Source organism: Homo sapiens, chromosome 7 (assembly GCF_000001405.40).
Source record: "Homo sapiens chromosome 7, GRCh38.p14 Primary Assembly".
NCBI classification, from domain to species: domain Eukaryota; kingdom Metazoa; phylum Chordata; class Mammalia; order Primates; family Hominidae; genus Homo; species Homo sapiens.
The window spans coordinates 31,050,299-31,065,631 of record NC_000007.14 but is presented as its reverse complement, the minus strand read 5'-3'; the positions used below and the strand labels follow the sequence as shown (position 1 = coordinate 31,065,631).

Sequence of the window (15,333 nt, the reverse complement as noted above, 5' to 3'; positions counted from 1 at the left end):
AGGGGTTCGATGGGGCCACTGGTTCTTACCAGGGATCGTGCCACTCCCTTGGGACATTTGAAATCTTGGGAGGCATTTTGTGATTGTCATTGGGATCGGGGACGTTATGGGCATTTAGAGGGAGAGGCTAAGAACGCTCAATGTCCTGCAATGTGTGCTTCCTCCAGTGGAGGGAAGCAGGACCCTCCTCAAAGGCAGCCCCAGGAGAAGCGTTGTACCCAAGTCTTCAAGACTGAAGTTCCTGCTGCTGCTTTCTTCTCTGGCTTCTGATGCAATGAGCAGAAGAGGTGGGAAAGGACCCCACGTTTCCTGCCCTGGGTTGACCAAGTGCTGTACAGCTCAGCCACAGGCAATAGCTGTGTCCCTGCTGCCACCAGGCCCATGCTGCCTGCTAACAAGCTCTTGACAGCCACTGCCCAGCTCAGGCACCAGTGCTATCCCAGCTCCTGTGGGAGAGAAGGCAGCCATGTCCAGTCACCCAGAACAGCTGTGAGGCATCCAGACCACATCAGCCTTGAGGAGAGCAACCCCAGCATCATTGCCCAGAGCAGATCCAGGACATCAGTATTCTCGAGGGCCTTCTGAAGTCCCCAGAAACCCATACCTTGACCACTCACTGGCCGAGCCTGAGCACAGGAAAACAGTTCTAAAAGCTGGCACTGGGGACGTGGCATGCTCCCTGCCGCCCCGCTCACCTGGAGAGGAATCATTGAAGCCCATCAGCTCATTGGCCCTCTGGATCTTCTCCAGGCACATGGCTTGCTCCTTCTTGAAGATGCAGTCAGAATGCATGGCAGGGGCCTGTAGGAGAACACAGGATGGATGGTGGGAGCGGGTAGGAGGCCCATCTGTAAGCTCTCCTACCAAAGCCCCAGGGGCAGTGTCTTGGGGGGAGTGGGGAGCAGAAGCAGAGAGGAGGGTGACAAGAGATGTCAGGGCCAGCAGGGGCCCTGACATTCACCTTGAGAGACACCATAAGGGCTCTTCTCAGTCACCAACTCAATGTGTGGCTTTGGACAGGTCCCACTCCCTCCTGGGGTCTCAGTTTCCACATCTTATAATAATATTAGCAAGCGCATATAGCACTTCACTCTGTGCATGCATTATTCTGAGTGTCATATGTGTGTGTGTGTATGGATCTGGAGAGTACTATGAAGTACTATTTTTATCATTTTCCATTTTACTGATGTGGAAACTTAAGTACAGAGATGTTAAGTCACTTGCTCAAAGTCATATGGCTCAGTAGGCTGAAAAGCCAGGATTCGAACCCAGGAGGCCTGACTCTAGCAGCCACGAGGCTACTACTGCAGTTTAGAGGAGAAAACAAGTGGTAGGGGAGAAGTCAGGCTGAGAAAGCTCATTTTCTCTCTTCTCCAGGAACTCAGGAAAAAAGTGCCCCCGGCAGCTGCAGGCTAAGGAGCAGTGCTGCTATTTAGTGGGGCCTACTCGCCACCCTTATTTACAGAAGGAGAAACTGGGGCTCAGAGAGGTTAAGAAACTCCAGCCCAAAGTTATACCACTGGTTAATAGCAGATATGGGCTTCAAGTTCAGGACCAAGTAACTTCACAGCCCATGCACTGCTATCATGACAGCTGCTGCCAAATGCCGTCCCTTTAACTCAAAACCCCAGGGCAGGGATGGTTCCCAGGGGGATGTCAGCAAGTGTGGAGGCAGTCACAAGGCATTTGATTGCCAAGGGCCATTTTTGGGGACATAGTCCAATCCCTACTATTCACAGATGTGCAGGCAGTTCTCAGGGAAAGGGACAGGCTTGTCTATGGCCACACAGTGAGTCAGGCCAGAGGCAGGACTGGTACCCAGGGTTCTGAGGACAGCCTCACCCACTGCTACTCTGAACTCTCAGGTAGAGTGGCGGGACCAAAACCTGGGAGTCCTCCTCTGCTCACTCCCCATCCCCACCTTCACTCAGGGAGAGACCTGAGCAGGGGGCAGGCTTCTGAGTTCTATCCTGGCAGGGCATTGTGGGCTGGTGACGAGAAAATTGAAAGAGGCTTCTGCAGCCCTGACCAGGGCTCCTGCATTCAGTTGAGCAGGTTGTGTACTGTGCAACTCTAAAGGTTGCATCATAAAGATTTGTAAATTTTGTAATCATTTCTGGTCAAATCAGTACAGGGTCTTGAGGAAGGCATGTCTTTTCTGATTCACACAAAGGCACTGGGTGGCCCAGTGGTGGTGTTGGCAGAAATACCAGCCAGATGAAGAGCTGAGCTGAGGGTACAGAAAAAACATGAGTTCTCTGGAGCGGGGACTCAGGTGAGCCTGGGGCTCCCAGAGAGATGTTCCTGGGCCCTTACCATAGGCAGCAGGAGGAGAGCAGCCAGGGAAACGTGCACGACACCAGCCATGACACTTCTTGGCCAGCACCACTGGCCTCCCACTGACAGCAGCGGCAGGTCAGCCCCAATGTGTCTCTGGGCTAGAGAGGAAGGAAAGGTGTGAATCCTGTGAGCCCAGTGCAGTGGCCGGGGGCAAGACCACCTCCCTTCCTTATTCCCCCAGCTCCCTGCAGCACGGCTCTCAGCCTCCAAGGATAACCCCACCTCCCTGCCTGCATCCGTCTTGCTCTTTCTTCTTCTGCCCTGCAAACATGTGCTAGGCACTCAGTCTGTGCTAGGTGCTGGCGATACTGTGGGCACACACTGGCTCAGCTCCACCAGTCTCCTGGCATGGTCTGGAATGGCTTTCTCCTTGGCAACAGAGGGATTGCCTCCCCAAACCTTTGCATTTTCCCCCTCCTCCACAGTGACAAAGTTTTAGCTGGCACATGCATGCTCACCTAGAGATGATATTTCCTGGTATCTCTTGCTTGGAGGTGTGGGCACATGATGAAGTTATTAGCACTTATGGAATGTGAGTGGCAGCATGTGGTCCCATCTGCACCCTCTGTGCATGAGGGCATGGCATGATCTCTGCTCTTGCTCTTTAACCCTTCCCAAATAACAAACCCCACTTTGACAGTGTGGACGTGAACCGTATCTGAGTGGGTAGGGCGCAATGCTGCAAGAGGAGGCAGGATCGCCAAGCAACCTCGTGGAGCCCAGCCACCCAGCCTGCCTGGAGGCCCACCTAGCCCCAGACTGTTACGCCAGAGGGAAACCACCTTCTAGCTAATTTACCCCCTTAAAAGGCCTCTTTGTTCCAGCTGCCTGGCCTGGTACCCTAACAATTACACCCACTTTTTGCCCTACCTCACTCTACTTCATCTTCGGGATGAAGTCTTAAACCATGACACGGAAAACACGGTGACAGGTGAAGCATGTGCTCAGGCCTCAGAGCTGCAGGAGCTCCAAGGGGGCAGGCCTGCAAGGACTGGGGCCACTGGTGGGGACCAGAGAGACAGGTTACAGGGAGTCAAAAAAGGAGGCTGCAAGAGCCCAGCACGCTCCCAGGGGAAGAGTATACTCTGCTTCTAAAATTGATCATTACGACATATACCCTACAACACAGCAATTCTGCATCTGATAAATATTTGCAATTGGACAAAAAGAAGCATATGCAAGCACATTCACCACAGCATCCTTTAAAATAGCATCAACAATAAAAAATGGGACAGCAAAGCATCCGTCAACAGGCACTGCTAAATAGGCTCCAGTTCAGCTGTACGATGGTTATGGTTATTTAAAAATTATTATTACTATTAAATTATTATAAAAGAGATTGAGTAGGCCCATATCAGGGCACTGCTAACCCACAGGTGCCTGGCCCGGGAGGCCATGGGGGGCCCAAGCAAATCCTACATGTGCATCCCAACCATTAGTCTTCGCACACCCCCCCACCAGCAGGCAGAGCTGCTGCACCCCAGGGGTCTTTGTGTCCCTCACTCTCTGCTTAACCACGTCCCCTCCCTCTCTCCTTGCCTCCCACAGGGCCTCTCCAAGCTTAAGCTGGAGATAAGCAGGCATCCAAAAAGCAGAAATAAAACCAGCTGCAGGAAGGCTCAAAAAGAGGGAGCCCCCATCTCCCCATATTATGCAGAGATGGGGAGGGAGGCCTCAGATATCCCAAGAGATGCTCCGAGAAGCCTGGGAGCCATGGCAACACTGGCCCAGCCTCCTCCTGTGGGTCAGGGAGGACAGGGCAGGCTGGGCAAGCACTGGCCTCAGCACTTCTAGGCACCCTGAGGCACCATCTCTACCAGGCACTCAGGCTTCCGTCTCTGTACCAGCTCCCAGGGCTTGCCACGCCCCTGGTGGCCACAGGCTGCCTCTGGCGTGACCTAGCACTGGTGGCCCCTAAAGGGCTTGGTCACTTCTACCAGCCCTGGGGAACCCAAGGCTCTGCCTGCAAAGAGACAACCCTCCTGACTTGCCTGGCTGCGAGGGAGGAGTGTCTGGCACCAGTGACAGAGGCTGGAGGCCATCTCTCTAGGCCAGCAGAGTGTTGCAGGCAGATCCTGCAAGGCAGAGAGCCTCCAAGATCAGGCGTCGATTCCCTGCACCTTCCGCGACCTCAGGCCAAAAAGGTGAAAACAGAGCTCCTTGCTCCCAGCAACACGTTGAGGTGGCAGCAGCACTACCCCGGTTAGGACTGGGCTGCCCCCTAGCAGATACTCACTGCTTCCCCAGCAAAGCCCTAACCTCTGACCCCAGTATGAAACCTGGGCTGCCCACTAGAGTCATCAGAGCTTTCCACAACTACCCCGGGCCAAATGAATCAGAAGCTCTCAGCTGTGGTTCGGGCAGCAGTGTTGTTTAAAGTTCTCCAGGTGATGCTCGTGTATAGCTAGAATTATAAAGCCTCTATTTTAACCTTTATTAGAACCCAGGGAGCTGGCACAGAGGAACTAGGAGTTTGAACAGCTCTGGTGGGGTGGGGGAGCCGGTGGCAGCAAATAGACAGAGAGTGAGTTTGTGTTTTGAGGACTGGTGGATTTCTGATTCTGTTTCTCTCTCTTTCTCTCTCTCTCTCACACACACAAACACACACAAATACACAGAAATAGGTCCACAGAGATGATCATAAAGACATGTCAACCCTACAGAGACAAAGAGAGACATTTATCCCCAGGGCCACCACTTGAAGGTATCAATACAAACTCCCATGATGGGGATACACAAGGTGGAGATTCCTTCAGGGACCGACAGGCAACCACACACACACACACACACCACACACACACACTCCTTCACAGACACACACACTCCTTCACAGACACATAGAGGACCACACACAGAACAAAGATATGTGCAGATGTAAGCACATGACAATTCAGATATTCAGATATGTCACATATCAGACTGTAGATATACAGAACAATTCACGCTTACACACACTCACTCAGCAAAGGCATTCAGCTATAGAGAGGCAATAAGATATACTTGGATTCAGATATGGGTGCAGGTATAGGCACACATGCACATGTGTGTACATGCACGCACACATGCAGGGATGCCCAGACTTGCAGGGGCCTCGCCCCTGCTGTGGGAAGGGCAGCTTCTCAGCTGTAGCTGCGGTGGACTGAAGACAAGCTCCAGCAGAGGCCCCAGCCCCGACCCACCCCCAGCCCTCTGCTTCATCGCCAGGCTGCTTACTAGGAGACAGGTGTGTCCCCAGCCCAGTGACCCAGGGTAAGGGAGCTGGGGCACTCTCAATAGGGTGCCTCTTCTGGAACTAGACCCAGGGTTCTTGATTCCCACTGTTACCTTCTCTTGGTCCCCACACCCATTACAGTCCACCCCCTGCCCAACTGGACACAGACGCCCCCGCCAGCAAAGAGGAGGAGAGAGAGAACCTGGGAGCTCCCAGGCCTCGACTCCGCTGGGGACCTCAGGGATCACCTCCCGCAGCCTCTCCCCTCTCTGGGCGGTAATCCTTTCAGCCCCTCCAGGCACTTCTGCCCCCACCGCAACCCTGCACTGCCCCCAACTGGACAACGCTCAGAGCTTACAGACTTAGGCTGCCTGCCCCAAACCAAGTGCTTCTCTGCAGTGTCCCTCTAAGATGCCTCCCCTCACTTGCTGGCCACCCCAGCCCTGCCAGTGGCTCCTCCTCCTCCAGACTCTCCCAAGCTGCTAGTGACACCCTCAAGGGACAGGCCAAGCCCCACCACTGCAGCCCAGGGTTGATCTCTCCCCTCCCTGAGGATGGATTTCAGCCCAGCCACAAAAGTGGCTCAGGATGGGAAAATGGGTCACTCCATATTCCCTGGCTCTCTCTCTTGGGTCCAGACTCTGTTGGGGCAGATAGTTTTTGAGGATGATTAAAGTCACCTCCTGGCATTTAGTATGACAGACTTGGGACCATTTTGCCAGAGGTTTCTGCCCCAGGAGCTTGGGAAAACTGCTTAACTTCTCTGTGCCTTCTTTTTATCATCTGAAAAATGGGAATAATATTAATGTCTATCTCATAGATGTTACAGTGAGGCATCAGCAAATTTATACAAAGAAACTATAGAGTATATACTATAGCCTGGCACTCAGTAAGGGCTATACATGTGTTAACTATTATTATTATCTCACCACTTTGTGTTCAGACTTTTTGTACCCTGTTGCTGTCACCTCCACCCCCACAGCACCGTGTCACAATCAAAATGGGAATAGCAGGCCTCCTGTGCTTTTATTTACTAATGGCTAACATTTATTAAATACTTAGTATGTGCCAGACACTCTTCCAAGCAATAAACATGTGTTAACTCATTTAACCTGCCTGAAATAGTTACTAGCATTAGCTCCTTCTATGGCGGAGGTGACCGACACACAGAGAGGGTAAGCAACTTCCCCAAAATCACACAGCAAGTCCCTGGTAGGGCTGGGAAGTAAACCCAAGCAGTCTGGCTCCAAAGTTGGTGCACTCCATCCCTATGCTTCCACTGCCCTCTCTTACTGGTCAAATGAAGATCAGTTCAGAGTCCACTGGTACCCTAGTAGGGACCCCCACACACACCTCCAGGGGCTGGTCAGGTCCGCCACTACACCCATTCACATATCTATATCTAGTTTCCTCCTTAGGAAGAGTTAGTTACAGACACAACATTTCAGACCTGAAATAGACTTTAAAGCCCACCTCCCAAGGTGCAGATAGGGAAACTGAGGCCAGAGAAGGCGACACACTTTCCAAGGTCACACAATATAGAGCCTGGAGGCTTGCCTGGCAGGAATGGGATGTGTTACAGATACCTGGACTGTAAGGGAATTCAGGGGGATCCCAATAGCACACCATTCCCCTTTCCTCCTCAGGCCTCATAAGCCCAGCCACCGAACCTGGAGTGAAACTGACTACAGCAGCCATGTCCTCCTCTGAGTCGCTGCACCAGGAAGTGGTGGCCCCTGCACACACAGGATAGCATCATCAGGCAGCACATGGGAGCGAGCGGTGACTCACTGGGCTCGAAGACTTTCCACATCTCCGTGCAGAGGGGACTCAGAGACCCTCCAGCCATCCCTGTACTGTCCAAAGCCTGGCAGAGCCCTTCTGCTTCCCCTGGCTGAAGGCAACTCTGCTCTTGAGATGGACACTTGCCCCACTCCAGCGTCTGGCCCAGGCCCACAGTGGGAAGCTCTGATGTCCCTGTGCCCTTCCCAACCAGCCCAGAGCAGCACAGTTTCCTCTGCCTCACATAAGCCCACACAGGGGTGTGTGGACAGCCTACCCCACCTCTTCTTTGGGCCACACAGCCCTGGGACTCTCATCTGCCCATCATGGGGCTGGGGCCATCTGTGCCACCTCCTACTGGAATCTTCTGGCCACTCAGCATCCCTCCCCATCAGAGGGCAGGACAAGCCTGGATACCAGAAAGGAGATGGCCAGGCTAAGTACATCACTCGCCTACCCTGCTCTCCCCGTGCTCCATTTACTCATGACAGGGGAGCTGGACCGCCCCTACTTCCTCCTCTCCCTCCTAGGGCCAGGAACAAGGGACAGAAGGCTGAAAGATGAAACACTGCCCCCCTCCCACTCACCCCTCAAAGGGAGGGACAGAAGCTGCTGCAGGGAAGGAGGGGAAACCCTCTAGAACCTCTTTCCTCCTCAAGACCAGAGCTGATAAAGGGCACAGACAAACTCCTGGGCCAGGGGCCTCCCGGCAATGGCAGGCGTGACAAGGTGACAGGAGTCAGGCCACCAGAGGGGCCCCAGTGATGATCCCACTCATGCCCTGCATTTCGCACAAGCTTGGGTAGGGAACCAGGTCCAAAGCAAGGAAGGGCCAGGCTGGGGCACCTGTGCCCGTTGGCAGTATCATCCCATCTCACTGGTGAGGCTCTGAGGCCCTAGGAGACCAGGAAACTTCCCCAAGGTCATGCTGCAGAGTCCTTCCCAGGGTCCTGTGAGGAGTTCTCTTCCATACTGGATGGTGCAGGGACCTCTCCTGACCTGGAGGAGTCAGGGAGTGCACCCCCTGGGCCAGGTAAGAGGAGGGGGAGGAAGAAGGCAGAAGATAAATGCGGGGAGAAGAGGGAGGTAGGAAGGGAAAGGACGGAGCGAATGAGAGGAGGGAGGGGAGGAAGGAGAACAGGAAGCCTGGCCAGAGGGAGGCACAAGCTTGTGGAAATGTTCACTGAGCACCTACCCGGCAGGGGGTGTGGTGTGGAGAGGAGTAGCTCTGCACTGAGCGCCTTTCCCTTTGTGCAGACGCTGGTTAAGCTTCAGCCTCTCCTAAGTGAGCATGAGCCCAGCTCTGACGTGCGTGTGCCCACAGCACCTGGCACAGGCAAGACACACGAGTGCCCAGAAAACCTGGATGAGCGCCCCCTGGATGGATTTGGGAAGGTGATTCCAGGGTGTCAAGGAACACAACAAGATATCAGGAGGTGATGAGGTGGATGAGAAGGTGGAGGGCTGGTGCCAGTCTGTGGAAGCTGGAGGGTTGTTCCACCAGACAGGGGTGGGGCAATGAAGAGTTCTAAGCAATGGAGTGGAGTGATCAGCTTCTCATTTAGAAAATATCCCTTCAAAGGCTGGGGAGCAGAGATGAAGGGGGAAAGTGCAGGCAGAAATGTACCCTGAGGCCCTTTCCCGGATCTAGGGTAGAGGTGATGGGGGACTAAGCTGAGCAGGAAGGCGGTTGGGATGGAAAGTGGGGGACAGAATCCAGAGACACGGAAAAATGAGAGAGGTGTGTCTCCTTGGCCCACCCCCACCACAGGTGGCAGGAAGGAAATTTCAGGAGGAGGCAGTAGAGAAAGGAAGAAACAGAAGGCAGGACCTGGTTCACTACACAAGTCCACAGGCCTTAGATCAGCAGCTGGGAAGTTCAGAGGTGCCTAGGAAGGATATATATATGTTTGTCTCAGCCAACCCTCTGCAGTGCCCATCGATCAGGAGGGAGAAAGATGAGGGCAGCTAAGGCAATGCATGGAGTCTGCGGAGAGCTGGGATGAGAGTGTCCAGCCATCCTCCAAGGCCAACTCAAACCCCCACCACCACCTCCAGGAAGCCCACTCAGGCAGCACCCGCCCTTTATGACCTTGCCCTCCACTGAGAAGCCCTAGCCCTGAGATAAGGAGCCCCTCTCCTTGGAGCTGTTTCAGGTCTCATCATGTTCATTGTGAGTTTCGAGTCTTGTCTAGAAACAAGGGGCATGCCCAGGTTTCCGTGTGGCTTCCCCACCCATGAGGATGGGCACAGACTTGGACACAAAGGGTGAATGGTGAAGGGGGCTCAGGAACTGTTTGGCAAGCTCAAGTGACAGCAGTCAGTTTTTCAGTCCTGAATGTTGTCTCCAGGTGTCTTTAGAGTGGGGGAATCAATCACAGGGACAAAGCAGAGGCCAATCTGGGGGAGGGTGCTGAGGCCAGGCAGGGACCCTCTCCTAGGCCTGACCCATTAAACAGATGGGCACTCTGAGCTCCACGTAGAATGGAGCGAAGCATCCTAGGTACCATCAGGCATCTGCAGCTATCAGAGCTAAGCCCCTCCCTTTGTCAACCTCTCTGACCATTTATTTATCTTTCCTAACCTTACATCGCAGGAGCTGGCAACCCCTTCCAGCCAGTCAGATCCAGCCTGTAGCCTATTTTTGTACGGCCAGTGAGCCAGGAATGCTTTTTACATTTCTAAATGGTTGGAAAGAATTAAAAGAATCATATTTCACGACACAGGCAAAATGTATGAAATTCAAATTTCAGTGTCCATAAATAAAATGTATCAGAACAGAGCCATGCTCACTTGTTTACATATCATCTAAGGCTGCAGTAGGCTACACAGTGGAATTAAGTAGTTGTATATGGACACAAGCGTAAAATAATTGCTATCTGGCACTTTACAGAAAAAGGTTGCCTACCCTTGTTCTAGGCTTATGCAACACGCGCGTGCACACACACACACACACACACACACACACACTTTCCTCCATTCAATTCAATACTCAGCTGGACTTTTATTAATGAAGACCTTTGTGATCTTTGGGCAAATATCTCTGAGTCCCCGGGTGTGCCCAGATCTGTGTGAGAGGGTGTGTCTCAACGTCCATTTGTCTTTCTGGTGTTGCTTGTCACTATTGTGCCCCAGCTCTCTGGCAGGTGTCATAGAAAGCCTATATGCCGTCCCAGCTGTGTGTCATTCCCTCTCTGTGTGTCACTGTGGGGGTGGCTGTCACCATTTGCCTCTGACGGCATCCAGAGCTCGGTACAAACACGTCGCAGCTGAGGAGTTTCCAGTCTCCATCTTGCCAGGCGGCTGGACCACTAAGCCCAACTCATTCAGACCCTGGAATCAGATTCCTCTCCTCAGGGAAGGCTGAGGGTCTCTGAGGCCTCTAGGCCTTCCAGGGTGGAAAGCCACTTGGCAGCTCCTGTCTGGGGCATCATCCCTCTGCTCACAAACCTGCCCAGGACAGGAAACTCATTGTCACCTCCAGTGTCAGCCCCATGGTGGGTGGGTCTCAGGCAAGCAAGGCCTTCCTGGCACCGAGCTAAGCTCCGGCTCTGCACTTGGCACACCTTGGTTCTGCCCTGTGGCAGACAGCACAAGATGTCCTCCACTTAATCAGTGCCAGCCCCAGGTCAATGAAATGCTTGTCCCTGGGAGGGCGGCAACCTGGGACACTCCAGCTTAAGCCCTGTCCCCAAGAGAAAAGCCACCCTGTGGCCTTAGCTTTCCTAGCCTCTCAGCCACATATACTATAAACTCCCATGTGTGTATTTATTTATTCGACACAAATTGAGGGAGTGTCCCAAAGTTGACGCACAACAGAGAGAGGTGGCCATGTGAAAAGCCATGGGTCCCAAAGTGTTTCTCCAATCAATCCCCTGCCAGCCTGAACCTTATACAAAACAGGACTTAATGCACCCCTTAGCTTAGATCAGTCCCGAGAGTGCAGGAGAGGGATCCTTTCAGAGGCTCCCCACAGACACCTCCCCTCACCACACATGGGGACAAACAGACTTTTGGGGGTCTTGTCCCAGACACCCAACCACCCATGAACCACCCATGGCCAAAGAGGAAAAGTATCAGGCCCGCCTCCATCGTCACCCCACACACACTTGTTGATGGATCAGTTGGAAGAGCTGGCCCAGGGCCTGCTCAGCGTGTTCCACCTCCAATCTGTATGTTCAGATTTCGGCTTGTGTCCAAGCTGGTGCCTCTGCCTGCCCTCCCCAAGGTCAGTGAGGAGCAGAACTTAGCTTAGGACTGGGGACTCCACCAGTGCTACTTGTACCCAGCACCAAACTCATTTAATTGGGGTCTCCTGAGAAAACCTGGGTGCTGCCTGCTGCCCCTGCCCCCAAAGGCTCAAACATAGTTTTCCATCTGCTTGGGAATCCTACCGCCACTCAAAGCTTCTAGCTTGACCTTCAGGATGCTTGTCTGCCTCTGGCCAGCTGCAGTCCCAGGGCAAGTTGCCCTCCACATGCTGCGTCCAGCCCCTTCCCATCCCCCAACTCCTCCCCAGGGCCGCTCATGGGAAGAGCCAAATGCTGTGTCTTGGAGAGGGCCAGGGGGGCTTTGCGGGACATTGTAAGGCTGGGGAAGATAAAGGGAGTCTGACGCACCTGCACTCAAAAACATAAAAATGGTCGGAAGAATTAGCAGGTGTCCACCACCCCACCCCCATCTTCCAAAAAGGGGCTGAGCTCCATCCAGGGGTGAGGCTCCCCTCCTCAGCTCCACGTGAAATGCAATCGGCTTCCGGCTGGGTTCCCTCCTGAGGGTCTAGTTGCATCCATCGGCTCCCCTGTCCCTTCTGAGCCCCCTAACCTGCCAAGGTCCCGCCGAGGATGTGGCCTCCGCCCCCCGCAGCCGCCGCAGGAGCTTCTGCCTCTAAAGCGGCAGGCAGGGGTCTCAGCGGGCCCACTTCAACCTGGGAAGGCCGGTGCGTTTCCCCACAGACCCCGCAGGGCGTTTCTTCTGGGGACCACTGAAGCCCTGGCATCCCCAACCCCAGCCCCTCCGCGCCACGGGAAACGAAGACGACACTCTTTTGAACAATCCCGGATGTGTCACCACAGAGGGGCATTCTACACTGGCCCCTACCCCAACCCCCACCTAGCACATTGCTTGCCCACCCCTCAAACCCCGTGCGGATTGCGGTACCTAGCCCCGGGGGACCCTCCAGCCCTGCCTTCCCGATCCGCGTAGGTGCGTCCGTCCACCTAAGGGTAGGGAGGCATGTCCCTCCGGGTCCCTCCGGCCGCATGGCTTGCCTGCCCCCCTGGTCTCCCTTCTCCGCATCAGGAGGGGCGTGAGATAGCTAGGTCGACCCCCACCCCGGCAGTCTGCGGCGATCGGCCGCCCCGAGCGCAGCGCCAGACACTTGGGTTGGGGGGTGTCAGCCTGACGCGCAGGAAGGGCGCAGCGGCGGGAGGGGGCTTCATTTCAGATCTGGGAGGCTTGCCTGGCGCCGGCCCTCGCCCGCTCTCCGTCGGTGGAGGTCGCGGCTGGCGGAGACCGCCAAGCCAGAGGAGGGGATCCGAGGTCCCGGCTGGGCGAAGGTTCTGGAGGGGGAGAAGACGGCCGAGGCGTGGAGGGGCAGCCGCGGCGGGGCGACCCTTACCTGCTCACTGCGGGGCCTGTCCGTGGGGCCGGGGCAGACTCCGCAAAGGACGCGCAGCCTGCAAGTCCGCGGCCCGCGCGGCGCGGGGATGGGGAGCGTGTGCGCCGAGGAGCGCGCGCCGAGCCGGGTCTCCGCGCCTGTGTGGCCGGCTGGCGGCCGGGGTCCGTGTGTCCCTGCGCGGCGGCGTGTGCGTGTGCGCACGCGGGGACCACGCTCGCCCGGAGCCGCCGCCGCCGCCGTCACTCCCTGCCCGGGGCCGAGCGCAGCGCCCCCTTTGCCCGCCCCGCGCGGCGCGGCAGTCCAGCTTGGCTCCGTCCTGCGGGAGAGGCGCCGCCTCCGCCGCGAAGCCAGGCTGGGCGCTGGAGGGAGGCGACCGACCACCGCCTCCCCCTGCTCACTTCACAGGCTGGGGAGGGGGTGCTGCAGGCCAATGAGCGCCCGGGGGCGGGGTTAGATCGAGGGCGGTGCGGTGGGGGGCGCGGTGGGGGGCGCCGGGCTGCTCAACCCGACCCCACCCGCAGCACAGACTGGAGCAGGAGCTGCGGCGGGAAATCCCAGCGGCGGGGGTCGGGGGCGCTGAGGTGGAGCCCTCAGCCCCCTGTCATCCCCGTCTCCTCTGACTCTGGGCCTCCTGGGCTCACCACCCTCTTTCCAGTCTCTCCATCATAGCCAGGACTAGAAAGCCTTCTTTCTTCTCCCTAGGTCCTCAAGATTTCCTGTGTATCAGAGCCTGTCTTCCCTCTCCTCCAAGAAGCCTTCCTTACCAGGCAAGTCTCAGACCCTCCTTGGGCTCTTCTTTGCCCCTACCGCCCAGGCCTGGGAGGGTCAGCTAGTTTTGGGGTGCCTGTCGGGATGTCCTCCAATGTGACCCCCCCGCCCCCGGAGAAAGACCAGGAAGGGGATGGTGGTGCTTACAGGACAGAGGCAACTTAAAATATCAGACTGCCTGGCTCCAGTCCCTGCTGTGCCACAGCTCTGTGAGCTTGGGTAAGTGGCTCAGCCTCTCTGAGCTTCAGCTTCTTCATCTGCACAAGGGAACAATAGTACCGGCCCCCAGGTCTCTTCACAGCAGCATTAAATAAAAATGGTACACTCACCCCATAGTAGTTTCTCCCTGGTATCATTGATTCGCCGATGCTGAATAAATTACTATTGCTACTGTTATTACAGTCCTGTCCAACCTCCTCCTAGTGCAAATGGCTTAATAAGGAGAACTACACAGGTAAAGGTGGCCTAGCGGGTTGGCAGCGAAGCCCAAACTTAACTGAGAGTAGTTAGTTACCCACTCCCAGGCAAGTTCTCACCCTCTGCCCACCCCACCCAGCCCCCATCCCACAGCTGCTCCTGCCTGCCTCTGCTCTCGGTTTTTGGTCCCTGCCTCAGGCGTCAGTCTCTGAGAGCTCTCAGTTCTGCAGCCAGGCTCTGTTCTTGCCCATTCAAGTAAATTCTCGCTCAGCTTCCCTTTGGGTCCAAGTTCTAGGTATGGCCACCTTGTCCAGGAGGCCTCAAGAAGGGGGAAGGAGGAGGGAGAGCCTTGAGCCTTCCTTTGGGGTCGCCAGTCTACCAAAGAGGAAAGGACCTGTGGATGGAGAGGAATCCATATGGAAACTTGAAAGAAGCAATCTGAGGGCCCAGAAAGACGCGTGGAGGTTCCTAGGTCCATGTTTCTCTTTACTGACCAATGACCGCTGACCCCCATTGACACAACACACTGGTAGTCTGATTGGTTCATGTTCCTTTCAGTCCAGGAGAGCTTCCTGGTGGAGGAGAATATCAGTCTTATCTATATCAAGAAAGAATGAAGAGAAAGGAGAGAAGAAATAATGGAGAGAAAAGGGCCAGGTGCTGTGCTAAAATCAGACACAGACAGGACCTCCCTTTAATCCTGGCTAACCCCTTCTTAGCTTGTTGCCCTAACCCCTGAGAGCTGAGAGCCGCTTTCTTCATCTGCCTCCAACTCTGGTGTTGTGAAGATCAAATGAGATGATGTGTATAAAAACTCTCTATAAACTGTGAAACTAAGTGTGAGGGAAAGGAGGCTGCCAGGAGTCTCAGAGTCAAGAGGGACTCAGAGTGCAGGACGTAGAGGGCCTGGGAGTGAGAGGAAGGGTGAAGATCAAGGTCATCTATGGCAGACCAGCCCATCCTGGGAATGTGGATGGCCAGGCTTCCAGATAGAGGCCCCCCTACTTTGAAGTTCAGCACTCAGTTCCAGATTTATTCTCTTTCCGTACTCTTGGTTCTCCAGTTTCCACTGCGGGTTCCAGATCCCCTGGAAGGGGCCAGTGGGGCTGGAAATCCAGATCCTGCTCTACCCACTGCCCACCAAACCAGGCATGCCCCCATCTACCCAAAAAGGGCAGTTTTTTCTAGTGGATTC

At 55.1% G+C, this 15,333-nt stretch overlaps 1 protein-coding gene across 10 annotated transcripts in view; it reads right to left on the bottom strand.

Moving 5' to 3' along the window:
- The window catches only part of ADCYAP1R1 (ADCYAP receptor type I), a 59,167-nt gene extending 45,843 nt beyond the window's left edge, over nucleotides 1–13,324 (bottom strand). For all 10 annotated transcript variants that reach the window (XM_006715645.4, NM_001199635.2, NM_001199636.2 and 7 more), the window contains exons 1-3: nucleotides 12,954–13,324; nucleotides 2,317–2,438; nucleotides 696–801 (exon numbers count right to left, since the gene is read on the bottom strand). In XM_006715645.4, the coding sequence (XP_006715708.1) occupies nucleotides 696–801; nucleotides 2,317–2,367 (157 nt within the window). In that variant the 5' untranslated portion in view covers nucleotides 2,368–2,438; nucleotides 12,954–13,324. The remainder of the gene's footprint in view (nucleotides 1–695; nucleotides 802–2,316; nucleotides 2,439–12,953) is intronic.